At 35.6% G+C, this 20,355-nt stretch overlaps 1 protein-coding gene across 10 annotated transcripts in view; it reads left to right on the top strand.

Annotated features, from left to right (window-relative positions):
• The window catches only part of RPS6KA6 (ribosomal protein S6 kinase A6), a 130,154-nt gene that overhangs the window by 83,562 nt on the left and 26,237 nt on the right, over positions 1-20,355 (top strand). For all 10 annotated transcript variants that reach the window (XM_047441997.1, XM_011530919.3, XM_017029425.2 and 7 more), the window contains 4 exons: positions 281-439; positions 2,740-2,901; positions 7,090-7,166; positions 8,627-8,744. In XM_047441997.1, the coding sequence (XP_047297953.1) occupies positions 281-439; positions 2,740-2,901; positions 7,090-7,166; positions 8,627-8,744 (516 nt within the window). The remainder of the gene's footprint in view (positions 1-280; positions 440-2,739; positions 2,902-7,089; positions 7,167-8,626; positions 8,745-20,355) is intronic.

Below are 20,355 nucleotides of genomic sequence, written 5' to 3'. Positions count from 1 at the left end.
TATTTTTTAATTTCTTTCTTTGATGAACTGCAACCTATAACTTCAAAAGGCAATAAAATTATATGTTTAACATGGTTTCATGGGACTGTGTAGGTGACTGTTTAGCCAATTCAACCTTTAGTACAGCCTGTACTGCATTAAGAGTAAAGGAATAATGTCTTTTTTGTTTCTAATACTAGAGGGAAGTCTAGTAGAAAGGTAAATATAATTAAAATCTAATTTAAGAATTATAGAATTGTAATTATAAATAATAACATTTTAAAACTGCGTTCTTTTGTAGGTCTTTGATGATGGTAGATATGTTTACCTTGTTACGGATTTAATGAAAGGAGGAGAGTTACTTGACCGTATTCTCAAACAAAAATGTTTCTCGGAACGGGAGGCTAGTGATATACTATATGTAATAAGTAAGACAGTTGACTATCTTCATTGTCAAGGAGTAAGTTGTAGTTAACTTTTTTCTTTCTATTCTGGGACCTATATCTTCATGAAAATATAGGAGATGATGCCACCTAAAATAAGTTGCTTTTATTCACATATATTTCTATAGAGAATATCCTAATAGAACTCACAATGTAGTGAAGTTTATGGATTTAGGAAATAATTATTTTCTCTCTGCCAATTGGCCCTGATTTAATAGCATATTCATTTAAAAAGCGGTTTGAATTATATAAATGTACCTAACTTTGACCTTGAAATTATGAAACTTAGACTTAAAAGTCAAACATAAAAGAATTAACCAAAGACATACAGTGACTATTATTCAAGTTACCTAACATATAAAGTTCAGATTACCTAACATGTATCTTGAACCTTGCCAGCTCCTTCCCTAAATACAGTAAGAAATGTGTATTCTAAACATTTCAAGTATTACTATATTAAATTTTGTGGTGAAGGGGCAGGCTTGTTATTTTGCTTCCTGTCCTTTCATAAAGAAGGCAAATGAACTGAGTTACAAAAAAAGGGAACTTTTAATATATATAACTGTATAAAAAAACAAAGTAGGGAGTAATTTAAAAATTTAAGTTTGAATCAGTTGTAATAGTAGATATGTACCAACTTAATAAAGAAATTTAAAATGGCAATTTAGAATTGACATAATGAAAACTCTGCATGAGCCCCTCTTATAATTAGTAAAAATAGTACTCAATTTTGTGTGTGGTTTAATAAAGTGTGTTTTCAGTATTTTTTAATATATAATGCTAAACAGTAGCTTTTTATAATTTAATTATTTGATTGTCTTTACCAACCCTCTCTAAAATAAAGCATGAAGAGAATTTTTGAGAAAAGCATCATAGGCGTCTCTTCTTTATTATTGTATGAACCTTCAGGTTCTTACTTCAATTAACTAAATTAATAAGACACATATTGAGCATTTCTACAGGCCAGGCATTGTAAAAAGTGTTGTGGATTCAAACATGAGTGAGACCTGGTCCTTGTCCTTAAAGAGCTTTAGCATAGTAAACTCTGATTAAAGATAAGGATAACTTACATGAAATAGAGAGTACTAGTAGGGAACTTATCACATGGGGGAATTTCAGCATTTTTTTTTACCAGTCCTACATTTTATTTGTTTCTTCTTTATTGTTTCTATTTTTCTGCTGAGACTTCCCTTTTTTTGCTGAGAGTTTAATGCATTGAAAGCATGTTTTGTTTTACTTTGTTGAGGATCATTATGATAGTCACTTTAAAATCCTTATCTGTTTTAGCATGGTTCATCTTGGAATCAGAATTTATTGATTTTCTTAAGACTGTGTTCTATTTTCTTGGTTCTTTGTATAACAGATAATTTGGGATTGTATCCTAAGCATTATAATAATCAGTTATAGAGAATTTCATATTTCATTATTTTTCTCCAATAGTTATTATTGTTTCATTTGTTTAAGTGGGTAATTTTCTTGGCTGGGCTTGAACTGAAAACTAGTTTTGGGGCCAGCAGCTCTGGTTTTTGTTCATATTATTTGTCTTTATACAAATTATTTTGATCCTGTTCCACACATTTTTGATACAAGGATCAGTTCTGGCTCTTTCCTTTATAATATTCCTCCACTCAGCATTCAGAGTTTTCCAGCATCTCCTTTCTGGTCCTCTAAGCCAGAAGGTCTGAGGGTTTTTCCACATGTCTTTACCACCACTGTGTACCATAGGGATTGCACTTAAACCCAGGCTAAAAGCCACAGATATGGAAACCTCCTTGTATGGTTTCCTGTGTTCCCTCCTTCAACAAAGTGTGTACTCCTCATCAGAGTATATCTGCTTCTGTTCATTCTCCAGTGCCTTCAGATAGTTGATTTTTGTATTATATCCAGGTTTTATGGTTGTTTACTTCAAGGAGGGGGGTGTTGAGTAGGGTCTTAGTCCATTATGGACTAAGTCTAAACTTAGTTTAGTTTGTAAGTCAGGAACTGTTCTTATATGTTATGTATAATGCTAAGTGATATAAATTATGGCATGTCCAAAAGTGGATCTGAGAATTGAGCTTAGATATATTGAGATTAGAAATGGTTAACAAAACTAGTGGCTTTTGAGACAATAGAAACTGGAACATCTATCTGACAGACATAATTTCCTGTGTATATTTTAGGCTATTAAGCTTGAGCAAAATGTCATTTTCAAAATTTTGTAATTTGGAAAGTTTCTTTTTCTCAGATATTTAGTTAATTATATAGATATAATGTTTTATTTCTCAGATATTTAGTTAATTATATAGATATAATGCTTTTTTCCTTTATATTCAAGGTTGTTCATCGTGATCTTAAACCTAGTAATATTTTATACATGGATGAATCAGCCAGTGCAGATTCAATCAGGATATGTGATTTTGGGTTTGCAAAACAACTTCGAGGAGAAAATGGACTTCTCTTAACTCCATGCTACACTGCAAACTTTGTTGCACCTGAGGTATTCCTTAAAAACTTCACCATTTGCCTTTCATTCTTTTCCTTTAGTTGAATCTATATGATGCCATATGAATGTTATGGTAGGCAGATAAAAGCTGTTACCTTGCCCTTTTCAGTTTTAAAGTTCTTTAAATCAGGGAATTCTCATAGCCCCTAATATAAATATTTACACTGGTAACTAGCATCTAAAACCAACCAGAATGTAATAATCAGGCTATTCTATTCTGTTGGGTTATATACTAATTTCAGAATCATATCATTTTAGAGTTGGGAGGTAGGGAAAAGATAGCCACAGCTTCAATATATTATGTATTCTAAATGATGAAACTGGCTCGAGGTACTTCAATGACTTATTCAAGACCCAGCATTCACTTAATAACAAAGCTAGGATAGATTCATCAGGTATGTTAAATTGTACTGAACATTAGGTAATTTATATAGATTAGCATTATAAATAACATATAAGGGCAGTGCTATCCTCGATTGTCTTTAGGATCTTCTAACTCCCGGAGAAAATAGCCACACAGGGGTTTTTGTAAGCCGTGGGGATTTTTCTTGGAAAATAATATTTATATCTAAATATTAGGGTGAAGAATCAGGAAAGGTGATGCTCTTAGGGAGAAGAGTCAGGAAAGGGGAGGCTGTGGTACAGATTTCACATTTGGGAAGCTGTAACATTCATTCTAACCATGGGGATGAGAGCTTTGACAGTAGCAATTTCCATAGCAGTGAAAGTGAAGTTGGGGAAAAATGAATCAAGAGATGGCATTGGCCATATAAGTTCTTTATAAGCTTTCTTTGTCAAGTCAGTAGCTGTTCTTATATGTTATGGATAATACTGACATGTAATTACATATTCAATGAAAATCAAAATACCTAAAACTCTTCAGATTTGAAAAAATTGATGTGTCAATCAAAGGAGAAGCAGAGTAAAATAATTTGAGAAGAATTCCTATCTTCTATATATTTTATGATTTTATTTTTATATCAAATACTAGCTTTTTCAGGGAAATATTGCACATCAGATATATTAACAATAAGCCACTTGTATTTTAATGTAAATCAGTCTTTATTTTAAAGTAGCTACTATAAAAATAACTTTAATAATGAAAATAGAAATATAGAAAATACTATACTGATATTGAAGAACAGGCAGAACATCTGTTTTATAAGCTTTTTATGATAAGAGATTTGACTAAGAAATTATGTATGTATCCGGAGAATGTGATTTAATCTATATTTTAATAAAATTCATAAAATAATGTACAAGTTTTTATCTGTTACAACATATTGTACTGCCCTAAGGTGTATGAGATAATAGCCTGCACATAAAAAAATTAGCCTTTTTAGGACATTTCAGTGGTTTTATAGGAGGACAGAATATTTGAGATAGTGCTCTTCTGTTATGTATAGCATATATGGTCATCATAAAGGTCCTCATAAATATTCTAACAGATTTATACAGTAGACATAAGAGCAGAGTATAGAATAACCATTTTAATAGCCAAATATTTAATATTGACTTAATCTTGTGGACCTAAACTACTTAGTATTATGGCAACTTCTCACTGGAAAAATGTTAAGGTGAATATGTACCATATGAACATATCAACAACAGACATTAAAATGAAAAATATATAATATGTCCGTGTTTAGATTAATGGTTAGGTAAACAGTTTTAGATTAATGGTTAGGTAATCAAACCCAGAGAGTAGAATACAGCCCATTGATGTTTTTTTCCCAACAGACGTACACTGTAGTAAGACACTTTTACCATTGTAATAGTGAAGGTTTTCAGGTGGGCATCTGGAGACCACTTCTCTCTAACTAGTGCTTGAACTACCTTTGACTAGTATTTGTATTTTCAAAATACTTTGAAAGTTTTATTTTTGAGTGATGAAGCCCATGCTAGGAATCAATAATATATTTGTAAATTGTTATTAATGAACCACAGAGAGTATTTTTAGTGAGGTTTGTTTCTGAAATTTCAGACGCTTTCAAAAGGTATTAGTAAAATATAAAAATGCATTCTTTTTTAAACTAGAATTGGAAAGATTCAAATATCGATACAGACATTTCAATAAAAAATGGCATTTATGGGGGTATACATTCATTATTTCACAATGCATAAAGTTTTTGCTAAGAGCTACACTGATTATTGCAATTTTAGCTTAACAATAAGGAGAAAATATTCTTTTAGTTTTTAGATTATGCATCAGTTTGATCAACCTCTTGGGGTTTATTAGGTAGATGTGCTTTTCTACTATACCTATGTTGCAAAAAGTGAATATATCTCTAAAATATTTTATTCTTCGATAAAGGCAAATCCACTACGTTATATTATTCAACTGTTATTATAAGCCTACTGAGGTTAAAGAAGTTCCTGAATTAATGGGGCTTACAAAAAAGTTGAGGGATACTGTGTCTGTAGCTTTTTATAAACTAATTTTGAAGTTAACTCTCCTTTGCTCTTTCTCTGGGCTGTCATATAGTTTGCCCCAAACGTTAATTGATTTGAGCAACAGGAATGAGGAGCTCTGTGTATGTTACTTTCTGCTGACTTGGGAAGCCAAATGAGAGAGAGACTTATGCCACTGACTACTTTAATTGTGACTTCTATCTTTGTATTTAACTTGATACAAGTAAAAAGGTGTGAAACATAACCTCTGTACTCTTTCATTCATCCTACCGCTCTGCCTTGTTTCTTTTATGATTATATGCTCACTAGGGCATTGAGACTAGCTCTAGAAAAAAAGTGGACTGTTTCTTCTTTACCTAAAACAAGTTTTTCATGTTTGGCCCTAATTAAGCAATATGACACCTCCTGCGCAAGTCTGTCCTCATAACTAGGAAGGTTATAGGAGTATATGGTACCTACAGCTGACTTGATTAATTCTCACCTGTCCAAGTAGTTTCTGTGCAGTGGCCCTCAACCTTAGCTATGCATTGGATCACTTGGGAAACTTTAAAAAGCTTCCTAAGGGAATCAGGGAAAACATGGTGATGATTGGAACTGTAAGATGTGATGAGAAAAATGAAGAGATAAGGGAATAAAATCACTAGAAGTCTATGTTTTACTAGAGTATGCCAAGTTAACATTTACCATGATATGAGTGGTTTAGCTATACCTTGTTATTTGTTAAGTACTTTATAGTTCCCTACTTGTATTATTTAAATAAGCCAATTATGCTTTTATATCCTCTTTACCCTCTTAATTTTGCACATATGTGTGTTTTTATGAATACACTAAGACTAGGAAAAAAGCATATTTCAAATTTTAAGTTTGTTATATACTCTTTACTCATGTTTGGCAGTTGTCAAAGCCAAACACTAACATTTTTAGCCTTTTATAGATGAGAAATTCATGCTGGTGGTTATATAATCCCCAGTGTTAATGCATTAATAATGTTTCTATTTTGTTCCTATGCCTAGAGGCTTTAGCAATGGGCTTGTTTTTCTAAATGGAAAGAAAATGGCCTCATTTCATCTCTTTATTTTTCTAACGAACTCTATTAACTTCGTAGCTAAATCTCACATGAATACATAGCAAATGTATTATTTGATTTTTATTAACACTGGCCCCAAAAAACAGCTTCCTAAATTATTGTATGAAAAATAATGAAGCCATTCAGTATTTTTCAAATGTGTACTTGTGGTCCAGAAATATACTGCTGTTTTCAAGACATTGACCTTGTATGGTAAAATATAAATTCATTCTGCTTTTGTGAGATTATATATTATCTTGCCATATCTTGTGTAGTAAAGAGGCAGTTATCATAGATATTAAAAACACAGGCTTAAATAAGACTTCGTGTTCTACTACTTACTAGTTTTGTAATGTTGGGTAAGTTACTTAACATTCACTTCAGTTTCCTCATCTTCAAAATTGGAATATTGTCTACCTCACAGAATCAGTGACAGAATTAAAAGCCTTAGTACTGTATATAGTATACATTAAAATCTCTGTACATGTTAATCTTAAGTTTAGATTTCTCTATATCTGGTTTCCTAAGAGGAGGAGAGAAAACTCATTGAGGTGTCAGGGGTTATGTCTTTACTACAAGTGCATAAAATGATTGAAGTTTTTATATTATGAACTTTTGTGAGATTATTAGAAGTAAAACAACTTCTTTGGGAGAAAATTGAGTTTATATTGAGTAACACCATATAATGAGTATTTCTTTCTTAGGTTCTTATGCAACAGGGATATGATGCTGCTTGTGATATCTGGAGTTTAGGAGTCCTTTTTTACACAATGTTGGCTGGGTAAGAAACATATATTCAAAAGCATTAACATTGTTATTTGAATTTCATCTGTATATCTTCATCTAGAAAGAGAATAGATTAAAATAACTTTAAGGAAAATGACATTTACATTTCAAAATATTAATATTGATTGTTACACATAAAATTAAAAAACATAAAGCAAGGTGTAGAATGAGGCACTACTAATTTATGACATAATAATTTTAAAAGGCAGTTGTCACCCAGAACTAAAACTTTTAAAAATAAAGTGCATTTCTATTTTAATCTTGAAAATATTTATTTAATCATAAAATAATTGCATGTTTCACCAACAACTTGCCCACTGAACTTGTTGATATTGAGTTGATTTTTTTTAAGCACTTGAATTCTAACTATTCTGGCACTAGAGATTTAGTAAGATTGTGCAAATCTAAGTAGTAACAATACTAAACTGCAGAAACACACACAACTACCTTCCCTTGAAAGGATAAAGAAAAGCTCAAAACAAATGTAATAACAATTGGACTATGTTAATGTTGATACTTTACAAATAATACAAGTACTATTTTACTCTCAATAATGAGTAGCACTTTTATTTAGAAGTGAAAACTTATGGATGTAGAAATTATTCCAAGAGGGTTGTGATAGAGAAAATGGCCAAGTTTAGCAAGTAATTATAATGTACTTAGACATATATTTTAAAGAGTGCATTTAGTATAGTTTAAATATGCTTGACATACCAAGAGCTCTATAAATATGTTATAAAAATGGTGACTCTAAATTGTTTAATGGCTTGGTGTTAATTACACATCTCAGTACATTTCACATACTTTTAGGTATTACAAATTTATGCAAAATATTTAGTTATAGACAACAGTAAATACTGAAGTTAAGGGTAGCTAAAGTTTGCATGTCAAGCACAATTAATCTACATGATTGATCTACATAATAAATGTAATGGCTATGGAGTTTTGTGTCGATATACATATTTAACCAACCAAGTTTTCATAGATATTAATAAAAAGTAATGATAACCGTTTCCACTGATGATAATGATGAAATGTTAATGAATAAATTGAAACAAGACAATAAATACATTATGAATATATGAAATTAACATTTTCTTTTTACTAGGTATATTTGTTTGCTAACCTATGCCTTGAATATGTGTGTTTTAGTGTTGTCTAGTTTTAAGACTGAAGCTTTACATGAAAAGCCACCTTTATTTTATTTTACATTGATTAGCTAATCAGAGACAAAAGAAATAATTGATGTAAACAAGATTCTCCATTTTATTAAACATTTTATTAAGGTTAAATTTATGGTTTGAAATATAAAATTTGACTTTAACAGTGAAAGGAAATATGAGATGATATTCTTATTCACTGAAGTAAATATTTGCATGTAGTAAATATATGTATCTCTTTCATTGTTTGGGTATGTTACCCTCTAGTGTCTATTAAAATCTATTTTATTAATAGCTACACTCCATTTGCTAATGGCCCCAATGATACTCCTGAAGAGATACTGCTGCGTATAGGCAATGGAAAATTCTCTTTGAGTGGTGGAAACTGGGACAATATTTCAGACGGAGCAAAGGTATAAATTATAATGTTTTGTTTTGTTGCATTCATGTTAAATTGCTCAAATCCCTAAGTTATAGCTTAGTGTGTGTTTGCAGAGTATCTAATGGTGTCATATGTAAGTGTTTTGAATTAACACATCTATGAGTGAATTGAACAGTGTACAAAGGATAACTTTTGGTTTTACCATGTTTCTGGGCCACCTTCCTTTCTGATCAATTTACATATGTGCAGGGAATATTAACTAGTTCCTGTATTAACCAAAACCAAAAATGTAAATTTTGGAAACAGGGTATATTTAAAGCCAACTAAAGTTTATTTCTAGATTTACCATGTATTTCCATATCATTTTCTTTTAGCTCAGAAATTGACTTGATTATGTAGACAATTTTTATAATGCTAACTTATTCTTAGAGAATGAATGGACTATGTATCTGTGGCACCTGGATATTCATTCCTGATGGCTTAGAGTGGTCCAGTAGAAATATAATGCAAGGCAAATACACTTTAAAAATTTCTAGTAGCCACATTAAATTTTTTAAGTGAAATTAAATTTAATAATATGTGTTGTTTAATCTAATATATCCAAAATACTATTCAATATAAAAATTTAGATATTCTTTACTTTTTCTTACTGAGTCTTCAAAATGTACTATATATTTTATACTTAAAGCCGTGTGAATATGGACTACCCACATTTTAATACTTAATAGCCACATGTGGCCAGTGGCTGCCATATTAGTGAAGTTTCAGCATAACTGGCCTTATTTATTTGGGGGAAAAAATAGTCAACCCAGGCTTGAAAACTAATTTCTTACATTTATAATTTTTAAATTTTAAGTTTTAAATGAAAACTATCACTTGTCACCATGTGGCTTTTAGGTCCCAGAAGCTTTTAAGCTACAATTTGAAGTAGAACACATTTTATGACAAAAGTAATTGCTTATAGTTAACATGTGCTAATTATCTCAAGAACACTAGCCAGTTTGTAGAATACATTGCAAAGTAACTCCAGCATCCTGATTATTGTCAGGATAAATAAACTGGGGATTTGTCCCTAACTTTTAAACATTAGAAAAACAGACAAGGGATTGTTCTTGGATCTTAACCTTAGTATGAGTATGCTGTGTGCTATAGTAGAAGGAACACTTGAATGGAAGCCAGGAAAACTGAGCGCTAATCTTTCTTTGGTTCCTTATAACTCCAAAATTCATTTCTATGCAATTTGGTTTATTTGTAATTTGCAAAATTTCCCCATGTAATGTGATTAGAACTACTAGTATTATTCATTAAATATGTATTTTCTAGTCATCCAGTTTATGCTTCAGAAAATACATTTTACCAAGGATCAATTTTAATGTTTAAAGCCATGCATATGAATCTCCTGTGTTCCTTTTAAAAATATCTGCTGAGATCAGGCTGTTGACAGTTCCTGGTTGGCTCACAGTTACCCATGTCAGTTATCTCCGTTAACATTTCCAAGAATCTTTGTAGAACAAGTTCTCCACTTGCAAGGTCTTTTATTTATTTATGTATTTATTTATTTATTTATTTTTATTTTTTTTGAGACGGAGTCTTGCTCTGTTGCCCAGGCTGGAGTGCAGTGGCGCGATCTCGGCTCACTGCAAGCTCTGCCTCCTGGGTTCACGCCATTCTCCTGCCTCAGCCTCCCAAGTAGCTGGGACTACAGGTGCCCGCCACCACGCCTGGCTAATGTTTTTTATTTTTTTTAGTACAGATGGGGTTTCATCGTGTTTGCAAGGATGGTCTCGATCTCCTGACCTCGTGATCCGCCTGCCTCGGCCTCCCAAAGTGCTAGGATTACAGGCGTGAGCCACCACACCAGGCCTCCACTTGCAAAATCTTTAAAGTAGAACTCTTTTTTTTTTTTTTTTTTTTTTCCCTTTAAGGCAGTTAGCCCATTGCCAAAAGGTTTACTGACTTAAGGCTGGAAATGTCTTTCTGAGCTATAATTCCAAGGACTTCTCCACAGCTAAGTGAGATGCCTCATACCAGTATTAGGTGATTCTTTGTGTGGACAGAACAGAGCATTTTCATCTTGTGTTTAAAGCAATTTGTTGGCTTCAGCTCCTCACCACTTTCTATACCAGTCTCCTATTACTAACCCAGTAATCCCTATGCAAAACAAACAAACAAACAAACAAACAGAAAAAGAAAACGCTGATGGTGATTCCTGTAGGTTTAAGGGCTTAAATCTCAAACTTTGTGTTAGGAGTAACGGGAGTGTGCTGAAAGGGCAAGCAATACAACAAGTCATACCAAAAAGCCACATTGTTCTCTCCTAAGCCCCAACCCCACTCCACTCCTGTGGCCAGTGGTCCAAACAGAAAATAACTGGAGAAATTGAGGAGGTCAAAGGATTAGGGAACTAAGCGTTATGTGAATTCACTAGCAAGATGTACAGAATGCTTGTGTTTACATTGTTTTTTATGGAATTAGCAGAATAAAACTGATCTATTTTAAAAATGCAAAAAAAAATCTGCTGAAATAGATGGGGACTTAACATTGCCAATTGTGCTCAAATTTTCAGTTTTCTGTGTTCCATGTATTTTATGTTTAGGCCTATCTGGTGTTTAAGTAATAATACATATTAAAGCTTGGTTTTATTCTTACGTCTCTTTTAGCCTGGTAATCTGGAAAACTTCTCATAGCATAAGATATTAGGGATAGTGTTGACATATCTCATAAGGTCTCTTAGATAATCCCTTTTTATGGATCGGGTGACTTTAGTTCTGTCTTTGAAACTTTTGTAGGAGCTATGAGAACCTTTTAAGAAACTATCTCATGTACCTTTTAACAGTTCTACTGCTTACATTTGTTTTAAACTAGGCATGAAAGTAAACTTGTTCAGTTTCCCATAACCTCTTAAACTAGTACACTTTAGTTGTGAGAACTGTGACATTTGCTGCCCATCAGACATAGATTATTTATTGCCTCTTCATTTGTCTCTTTTAAAAAGATTAACTTGTACCCAGTGAACAATCTCTCACCATCTCCTCACCCACCACTCCCCATCCTCTGGTAACCACTATTCTACTGTCTATTTCTATGAGAACAATGTTTTAGATTCCACATATAAGTGACATCATGTGATATTTGTCTTTCTGTGCCTGGCTGTTTCACTTAACACAATGTCCTCCAGGTTAATCCACGTTGCCACAAATGATAGGATTTCATTCTTCTTTATGGCTGAATGGTGTTTCATTGTGTATATACACACTATATTTTCTTTATCAATTCATATGTTGATAGACACTTAGGTTGATTCCATATCTTGGCTATTGTGAATAATGCTTCAGTGAACCTGAGCATACAGATAGCTCTCCTACATACTGATTCCATTTCCTTTGGATATATATCCAGCAGTGGGATTGCTGGATAATATGGTAGAATTTTTTGAGGAACCACTATACTGTTTTCCATAATGGCTGTGCTAATTTGCATTCTCACCAGCAGTGTGTAAGGGTTCCCATTTCTCCACATCTTTGTCAACACTTATTTTTTTATTTTTTTGATAGTAGCCACTCTGATTGGAGTGAGGTGATGTCTCATTGCATTTTTTTTTTTTGATACGGAGTCTCACTCTGTCGCCAGGCTGCAGTGCAGTGGCGTGACCTCGGCTCACTGCAACCTCTGCCTCCCAGGTTCAAGCGATTCTCCCACCTCAGCCTCCCGAGTAGCTGGCATTACAGGCAGGTGCCACCACACCCAGCTAATTTTTGTATATTCAGTAGAGATGATCTTTCATCATGTTGGCCAGGATGGTCTCGATCTCTTGACCTCGTGATCTGCCCACCTCAGCCTCCCAAAGTGCTAGGATTACACGCTTGAGCCATGGTGCCCAGCCCTCACTGCAGTTTTGATTTCCATTTTCCAGATGGTTAGTTATTTTGAGCACCTGTTCATGTAGCACCTGGTGCTTTATTTTGTCTATTTGGTGAGGTCATGGTTCCCTGAATATTTTTTTTTTGAAAAGTATAATTTTTTTATAATTTTAAGTTCTGGGAAACATGTGCAGGATGTGCAGATTTGTTACATAGGTAAACGTGTGCCATGGTGGTTTGCTGCACCTATCAACCCATCACCTAGGTAATAAGCCCTGCATGCATTAGCTATTTATCCTGATGCTCACTCTCCTCCTGCCCCTCCCCCAACAGGACCAGGTCCTGATTGTGTGTGGTTTCCTTCCCTGTGTCCATGTGTTCTCATTGTTCAGCTCCCACTTATGAGTGAGAACATGGAGTGTTTGGTTTTCTGTCCCTGCGTTAGTTTGCTGAGGATAATAGCTTCCAGCTCCATCCATGTCCCTGCAACAGACATGATCTTTTTTATGGCTGCATAGTATTCCATGGTGTATATTTACCTCATTTTCTTTAGTCTATCATTGATGGGCATATGGGTTGATTCCATGTCTTTGCTATTGTGAATACTGCTGCAGTGAACATACACGTGCATGTATCTTCATAATAGAATGATTTATATTCCTTTGGGTATATACCCTGTAATGGGATTGCTGGGTCAAATGGTATTTATGGTTCTAGATCCTTTAGGAATCACCACACTGTCTTCTACAATGGTCGAACTAATTTATGTTCCCATCAACAGTGTAAAAGCATTCCTGTTTCTCCACAGCCTCACCAGCATCTGTTGTTTCTTCTACTTTTCCTCTACTGTTTTCCCATTACTATTTGGCATGTACTTTATTAGAGCATGTACTACATTCTGCCTGGTCATATATTCACTTGGGTATATTTTTGTTCTTCACACTTAGGAAGCCTTAAATAACATACTTATTTTGCATTTTCTATCACATCTAGCATAATGAGTACTCAATTGGATACTTTTTCATAAGCTAATCATTTCTTCTGGTATATCTTGCATTGTTAATTTACACAGCAAGTGTTTTTGATACATTTTATACACATGTTGTCCTATTGTGAGTGACTATAATTTGCAGTAAGCAGTGAGATTTTACATAAATATTTATTTTTCATTTTGGCTTGAAGTCGCTTTTAATAGAAGATGCTTTTTTCATGTGTTTACAGGTTATAGATTTATAGAGCTAGAAGGCAAGTAGTCCGTCACCTCATCATTTTGCAGATAAATAAACCAAGGCATATAGAATTTAACTTACACATTAATGAGTGGCAGAGTTGGAACTGATTTTCAGTTTAGTACTCTTTTCAATCCACTCACATTAGGGAAAACTTCCTAGAGGAAAAAAGGATTTATTACCTTGTTTCATGTAGATTAAATGGAGGAATGAGAGGTCTGTAACCCTTTAACAATTGAAGGCTCGAAGGAAAGCTATTATTGTTGACCCACTTTGTTTCTGTAGTAATGGACATGAGGTATACAGAACCTTATTACCTGATATGTTTTGGCTGTGTCCAAACTCAAAATCTCATCTTGAATTGTAATCCCCATAATCCCCATGTGTCAAGGGAGACAACAGATGGAGGTAACTGAATCATGGGGGCAATTTCCCCCATGTTGTTCGCGTGATAGTGAATGAGTTATCATGAGATCTGATAGTTTTATAAGTGTTTGGTAGTTCCCCCGCGTCCATTCCCCTTCCTGACTTCCTTGCTTGCGCTCCTCCTTCTACCGTGATTGTAAGTTTCCTGAGACTGTCCCAGCCATGCAAAACTGTGAGTCAATTAAACCTCTTTATACATTTCCCAGTCTTGGGTCTGTCTTCATAGCAGTGTGAGAATGGACTAATACATTATCCTTTACATGATCTGTACTACAGAGCAGTTTTACAGTTAAAATAATATATTGAAGTTCATCTAGAACTCATAGTAGTACCACAGTTTTCAAATGCCTCATGCCAAATTATACTAGTGAAAGACTACACTATCTAAGCCAAGCTAGGAAGGTACATTAGCAAATGCAATAATCAGAAATCAACCCTTGTTTTTTCTGAAAGATAATTATTTATTATTATTTGTGATCAGAGCAGGTGTTGCTGAAGTATATATGGAAGTTATTCATTTATACTGAGGATATATGAATTGTTACACATTTGACCAATTAAACATGCTTACAGAATGAGTAATAAAAAAGTTTTACCTCAGATACATGATTACATTGAAAATAGAAGTGATGAATTATTAATCAGTATTTTCCAAACTTTAATTTGGAATTAAATTTGAGTACTGTGAGAATAGGAAAATTGCTATGCTCCTATATTCATGTATGTTCAAAGTATTTAGAGTTTTGCTGGCTTTTATCCATTTAAAATGGACATTAAAAATAAGAAACCTGAGTACATTGAGAGGGGCCAAGATGGCCAACTATAAGTAGGTGCAGTCCACAGCTTTCATGGAGAGCAGTGAAAATGGTGTGTTAATTCAGCACCTTCAACTGAAATATACAGTTTCGTGTATTGGGACTGACTAGGCAGACAACTCGACCCATGGAGGAGAAAGAATAGCAGGGTGGGGTGATGACACACCTCAGAGTGGCACGGAGACAAAGGAACCCCCAGCCAAGGCAAGTGGTGAGCGATTGTGTGACCCCACCTAGAGAACCGTGCTTCTCCCATGGATCTTTGCAACCCATGGATCAGTAGATTCCCTCATGAGCCCATGCCACCAGGGCCTTTGGTTCAATATACAGAGCTGTGAGGAGTCTCAGTGGGGCAGCTGCTGAGGCACATACAGAGACCCAAGACCCAAGAGTTTTGCATACTCTGGCTCCAGGAATTCCAGCAAGGCAGAAGACCCATCTATACTTCTATCCTAGGAAGGGACCTGAATCCAGGGAGCCAGGCAGCATCATTCTGTGGGCCCCACTTCCATGGCACCTCACAAGTTAAGACCCACTGGCTTGGAATTCCAGCCAACCAGCAGCAACAGGCTGGAAATGGTCTGAGATGGACCAAGTTCCAGGGGGAGGGGTGACCACCAACTCTCTGGTTTGGTTGGGTCAGTCATTCTAACCTGCCAGCTCCGAGGAGTCCAGGCAGTCCAGACGAGGAGGAGTCCCTGATGAAGCAGCACAGCAGCTGTGCCAGATTGTGGCCAGACTGCTTCTTTGAGTGGGACCCCAATCCATCTCTCCTCACTGGACAGATCCTTTCTGGAGGACTTCAGCACTTCAGCCAGGGTTATATAGAGAGAAATTTGATGTTTCCCTAGGATGGAGCCCCTGGTGGGAGGAGTGGCACCAGTTACTGCAGTTCAGTCAACAGCCATTCTAGCCTGCCTGCTCTGGGAAGTCCAGGCAGTCCAGAGGAGGAAGAGTCCCCCACAACCCAGCACAGCTGCTGTGCCAGATCATAGCCATACTGCTTCTATAACTGGGACCCTGATCTATCCCTGTTCACTGGGCGGGGCCTCCCTATGGGAATTTCAGCCACTCCAGCCAAGGTTATTGGGACAGAACTCTGATTTCTCCCTGAGGTAGGGCCCCCGGGGAAGGGGTAGCCAACATCTCTGCAGGTTGTTCGACTCAGTCTTTCCAGCCTGCTGTCTCTGGGGAGGCCAAGCAGTCAGGACAAGGAAGGGTTCCCCCAATGCAGCACACCTGCTCTACCAAAAAGCAGCCAGACTGTTTCTTAAAGTGGGATCCTGATCCCATCCCTCCTGACTGGGTGAGACCTCCCAACAGGGATCTCCAGACACCTCCTACAGGAGCATACAGGTCAGCAACAGGTCAGTATCCCCCTGGGACAGAACTCCCAGAGTAAGGAGCAGATTGTCATCTTTGCTATTTCACAGCCTTCACCAGTGATACTTCCAGGTAAGGGAAAATCAATGAAAGCTAGGGTGTGGAGCAGTCCCCCAGCAAACCACAGCAGCTCTATGGAAAAGTGGCTTGACTTTTAAAAGAACAACAAACAGAAAACAACACAAAACAACAGCACCAACGAAAAAGACACCACAAAAACCTCACTCAAAGGTCAGCAACCTCAAAGATCAAAGGTAGGTAAGCTCACAAAGATGAGAAATAATGCAAAAATGCTGAAAACTCAAAAAGGCAGAGGACCTCTTCCCCTTCAAATGACTGAGATGGCTGAATTGACAGAAGTGGGCTTCAGAAGGTGGGTAATAACAGGCTTTGTTGAGCTACAGGAGCATGTTGTAACCCAATGCAAAGAAGCTATGAATCATGATAACACAATAGCTGGTAACAGGAGCTGACAACTAGAATAGCCAGTTTAGAGAGGAGCATAAGTGACCTGATGGAGCTGAAAAACACAAGAACTTCACAACGTAATCACAAGTATCAGTAGCAGAATAGATTAAGCAGAGGAAAAAATCTCAGAGCTTGAAGACTATCTTTCTGAAATAAGACAGGCAAACAAGAATAGAGAAAAAAGAATGAAAACAAACAAAACTTCAGAGAAATATGGGACTATGTAAAAAGACCAAGCCTCCAACTGATTGGGGTACCGGAAAGAGATGGGGAGAATGGAACCAAGTTGGAAAACACACTTCAGGATATTATCCAGGAGAACTTCCCCAACCTAGCAAGAAAGACCAACATTCAAATTCAAGAAATCCAGAGAACCCCAGTAAGATACTCCACCAGAAGATCAACCACAAGGTACATAATCATCAGATTCTCCAAGGTTGAAATGAAAGAAAAAATGTTAAGGGTAGCCAGAGAGAAAAGGCCAGGTCACCTACAAAAGGAAACTCATTAGACTAACAGCTGACCTCTCTGTGGAAACCCTACAAGCCAAAAGAGCTTGGGGGCCAATATTTTAACATTCTTAAAGAAAAGAATTTCCAACCCAGAATTTCATACCTGGGCAAAATAAACTTCACAAGCGAAGGAGAAATAAGGTCTCTTTCAGATGAGTAAATGCTTAGGGAATTCTTCACGACCAGGCCTGCCTTGCAAGAGCTCCCGAAGGAAGCACTAAATATGAAAAGGAAAAACTGGTACCAGCCACTACAAAAACACACTGAAGTACACAGACCAGTTACATTATGAAACAACCACATAAACAAGTATGCAAAATAACCAACTAGCATCATAATGACAAGACCAAATTCACACATAACAATATTAACCTTAAATGTAAATAGGCTAAATTCCTCAATTAAAAGACACAGAATGCCAAGCTGGATAAACAGTCAAGACCCAATGGTATGCAGTCTTTAAGAGACCCATCTCACCTGCGAAGACACACAGAGACGCAGAATAAAAGGATGGAGGAAAATTTACCAAGCAAATAGAAAACAGAAAAAAGCAGGGGTTGCAATCCTAGTTTCTGACAAAATACACTTTAAAAAATCAAAAGACAAAGAAGGGCATTACATGATGGTAAAGGGCTCAAGTCAATAAGGAGAACTAACTATCATAAATATATATGCACCCAATAAAGGAGCATCCAGATTCATAAAGCAAGTTATTGAGAGACTTATAAAGAGACTTAGACTCCCACACAATAATAGTGGGCGACTTTAGAACTCCTGTGACAATATTATACAGATTATCAAGACAGACAATTAACAAAAACCTTCAGGACTTGAAGATTTTTGTATCAAGAGGACCTGATAGGTATCTTTGGAACTCTCCACCAAAAATCAACAGAATATGCATTCTTCTCATTGCTAGGCGGCATTTACTTTAAAATTGATCACGCAATTGGAAATAAAACACTCCTCAGCAAATGCAAAAAAAAAGAAAAACTGAAATCATAACAAACAGTCCTCTGACCACAGCACAATCAAATTAGAACTCAAGATTAAGATATTTACTCAAAACCACACAACTACACGGAAATTGAAGAAACTACTCCTGAATGACTCCTGGATAAATAATGAAATTAAGGCAGAAATCAAGAAGTTCTTTGAAACTAATGAAAACAAAGAGACAATGTACCAGAATCTCTGAGACTCAGCTAAAACAGTGTTGAGGGAAATTTATAGCACAAAATGTCCACATCAAAAAGTTAGAAAGATCTCTAATTAACAACCTAACATCACAACAGAAAGAACTAGAGAACCAAGGGCAAACAAACACAAAGCTATGAGAATACAGGAAATAACCAAAATCAGAGCTGAACTGAAGGATATAGAGACACAAAAAACCCTCAAAAAGTCAACAAAACCAGGGGCTGATTTTTAAAAAACAAAATTAATAAAATAGACAACTAGCTAGACAGAAGAGAGAAGAATCAAATAGACAATAGACACAATCAGAAATTATAAGGGGGATATCACCACTGATCCCACAAAAATAAAAACAACCACCAGAGAATAAACACCTCTATGCACATAAACTAGAATATCTAGAATAATGGATAAATTCCTGGAACATGCACCCTCCTGTGACAACCAGGAAGAAATTGAATCCCTGAATAGACCAATTGTGAGTTATGAAATTGAGGCAGTAATAGCCTACCAACCAAAAAAGCCCAGGACCAGATGGATTCACAGCTGAATTCTACCAGAGGTACAAAGAAGAGCTGGTACCATTCCTTCTGAAAATATTCCAAAAAATCGAAAAGGAGGGACTCCTCCCTAACTCATTTTATGATGCTAGATTCATCCTGATATCAAAACCTGACAGAGATGTAACAACAACAAATAACTCCAGTTCAGTATCCCTGTTGAACATCAACACAAAAATCCTCAGTAAAAACTGGCAAACTGAATTCAGCAGCACATCAAAAAGCTTATCCACCACAATCAAGTTGGTTTCATCCCCAGGATGTAAGGTTGGTTCAACATATGAAAATCAATAAATGTGATTCATCACATAGACAGAACTAAAGACAAAAACCACAATTATCTCAATAATGCAGAAAATTCAACATCACTTCATGTTAAAAATGCTCAATAAACTGGGTACTAAAGGAGCATGCCTCAAAATGTTAAGAAAATAATATGAGAAACCTACAGCCAATATCATACTGAATGGGCAAAAGCTGGAAGAATTCCCCTTGAAAACAGGCACAAGACAAAGATGCCCTCTCTCACCACTCCTATTCAGCATATAATTGGAATTTCTGGCCAGGGCAATCAGGCAAGAGAACAAAATAAAGGGTATTCAAATAGAGAAGTCAAATTTTCTTTCTTTGCAGATGACTTGATCTTATATCTAGAAAACCCCATTGTCTCAGCCCAAAAGCTTCTTAAGCTGATGCAACTTCAGCAAATCTCAGGATACAAAATCAATTTGCAAAGATTGCTAGCATTTCTATGCCCCAACAACAGGCAAGCGGAGAGGCAAATCATAAATGAACTCCCATTCACAATTGCTACAAAAAGAATAAAACACCTACGAATACAGCTAACAAGGGAAGTGAAGGACCTCTTCAAGGAGAACTACAAACCACTGCTCATGGAAATTAGGACACAAACAAATGGAAAAACGTCCCATGCTCATTGTTAGGAAGAATCGATATCATGAAAGTGGCCATACTGACCAAAGCAATTTATAGATTAAAGGGTATTCCCACTAAACTACCATTGACATTCTTCACAGAATTAGAAGAAACTATTTTAAAATTTATATAGAACCAAAAAATAGCCCAAATATCTAAGACAATCCTAAGCAAAAAGTACAAAGCTGGAGGCATCACACTACTTGACTTCAAACTATACTACAAGGCTACAGTAACCAAAACAGCTTGATACTTG

Source organism: Homo sapiens, chromosome X, assembly GCF_000001405.40.
Source record: "Homo sapiens chromosome X, GRCh38.p14 Primary Assembly".
Taxonomy (NCBI): Eukaryota; Metazoa; Chordata; class Mammalia; order Primates; family Hominidae; genus Homo; species Homo sapiens.
The sequence above is the reverse complement of the archived record's forward strand: the minus strand, read 5'-3'. Positions and strand labels throughout refer to the sequence as shown.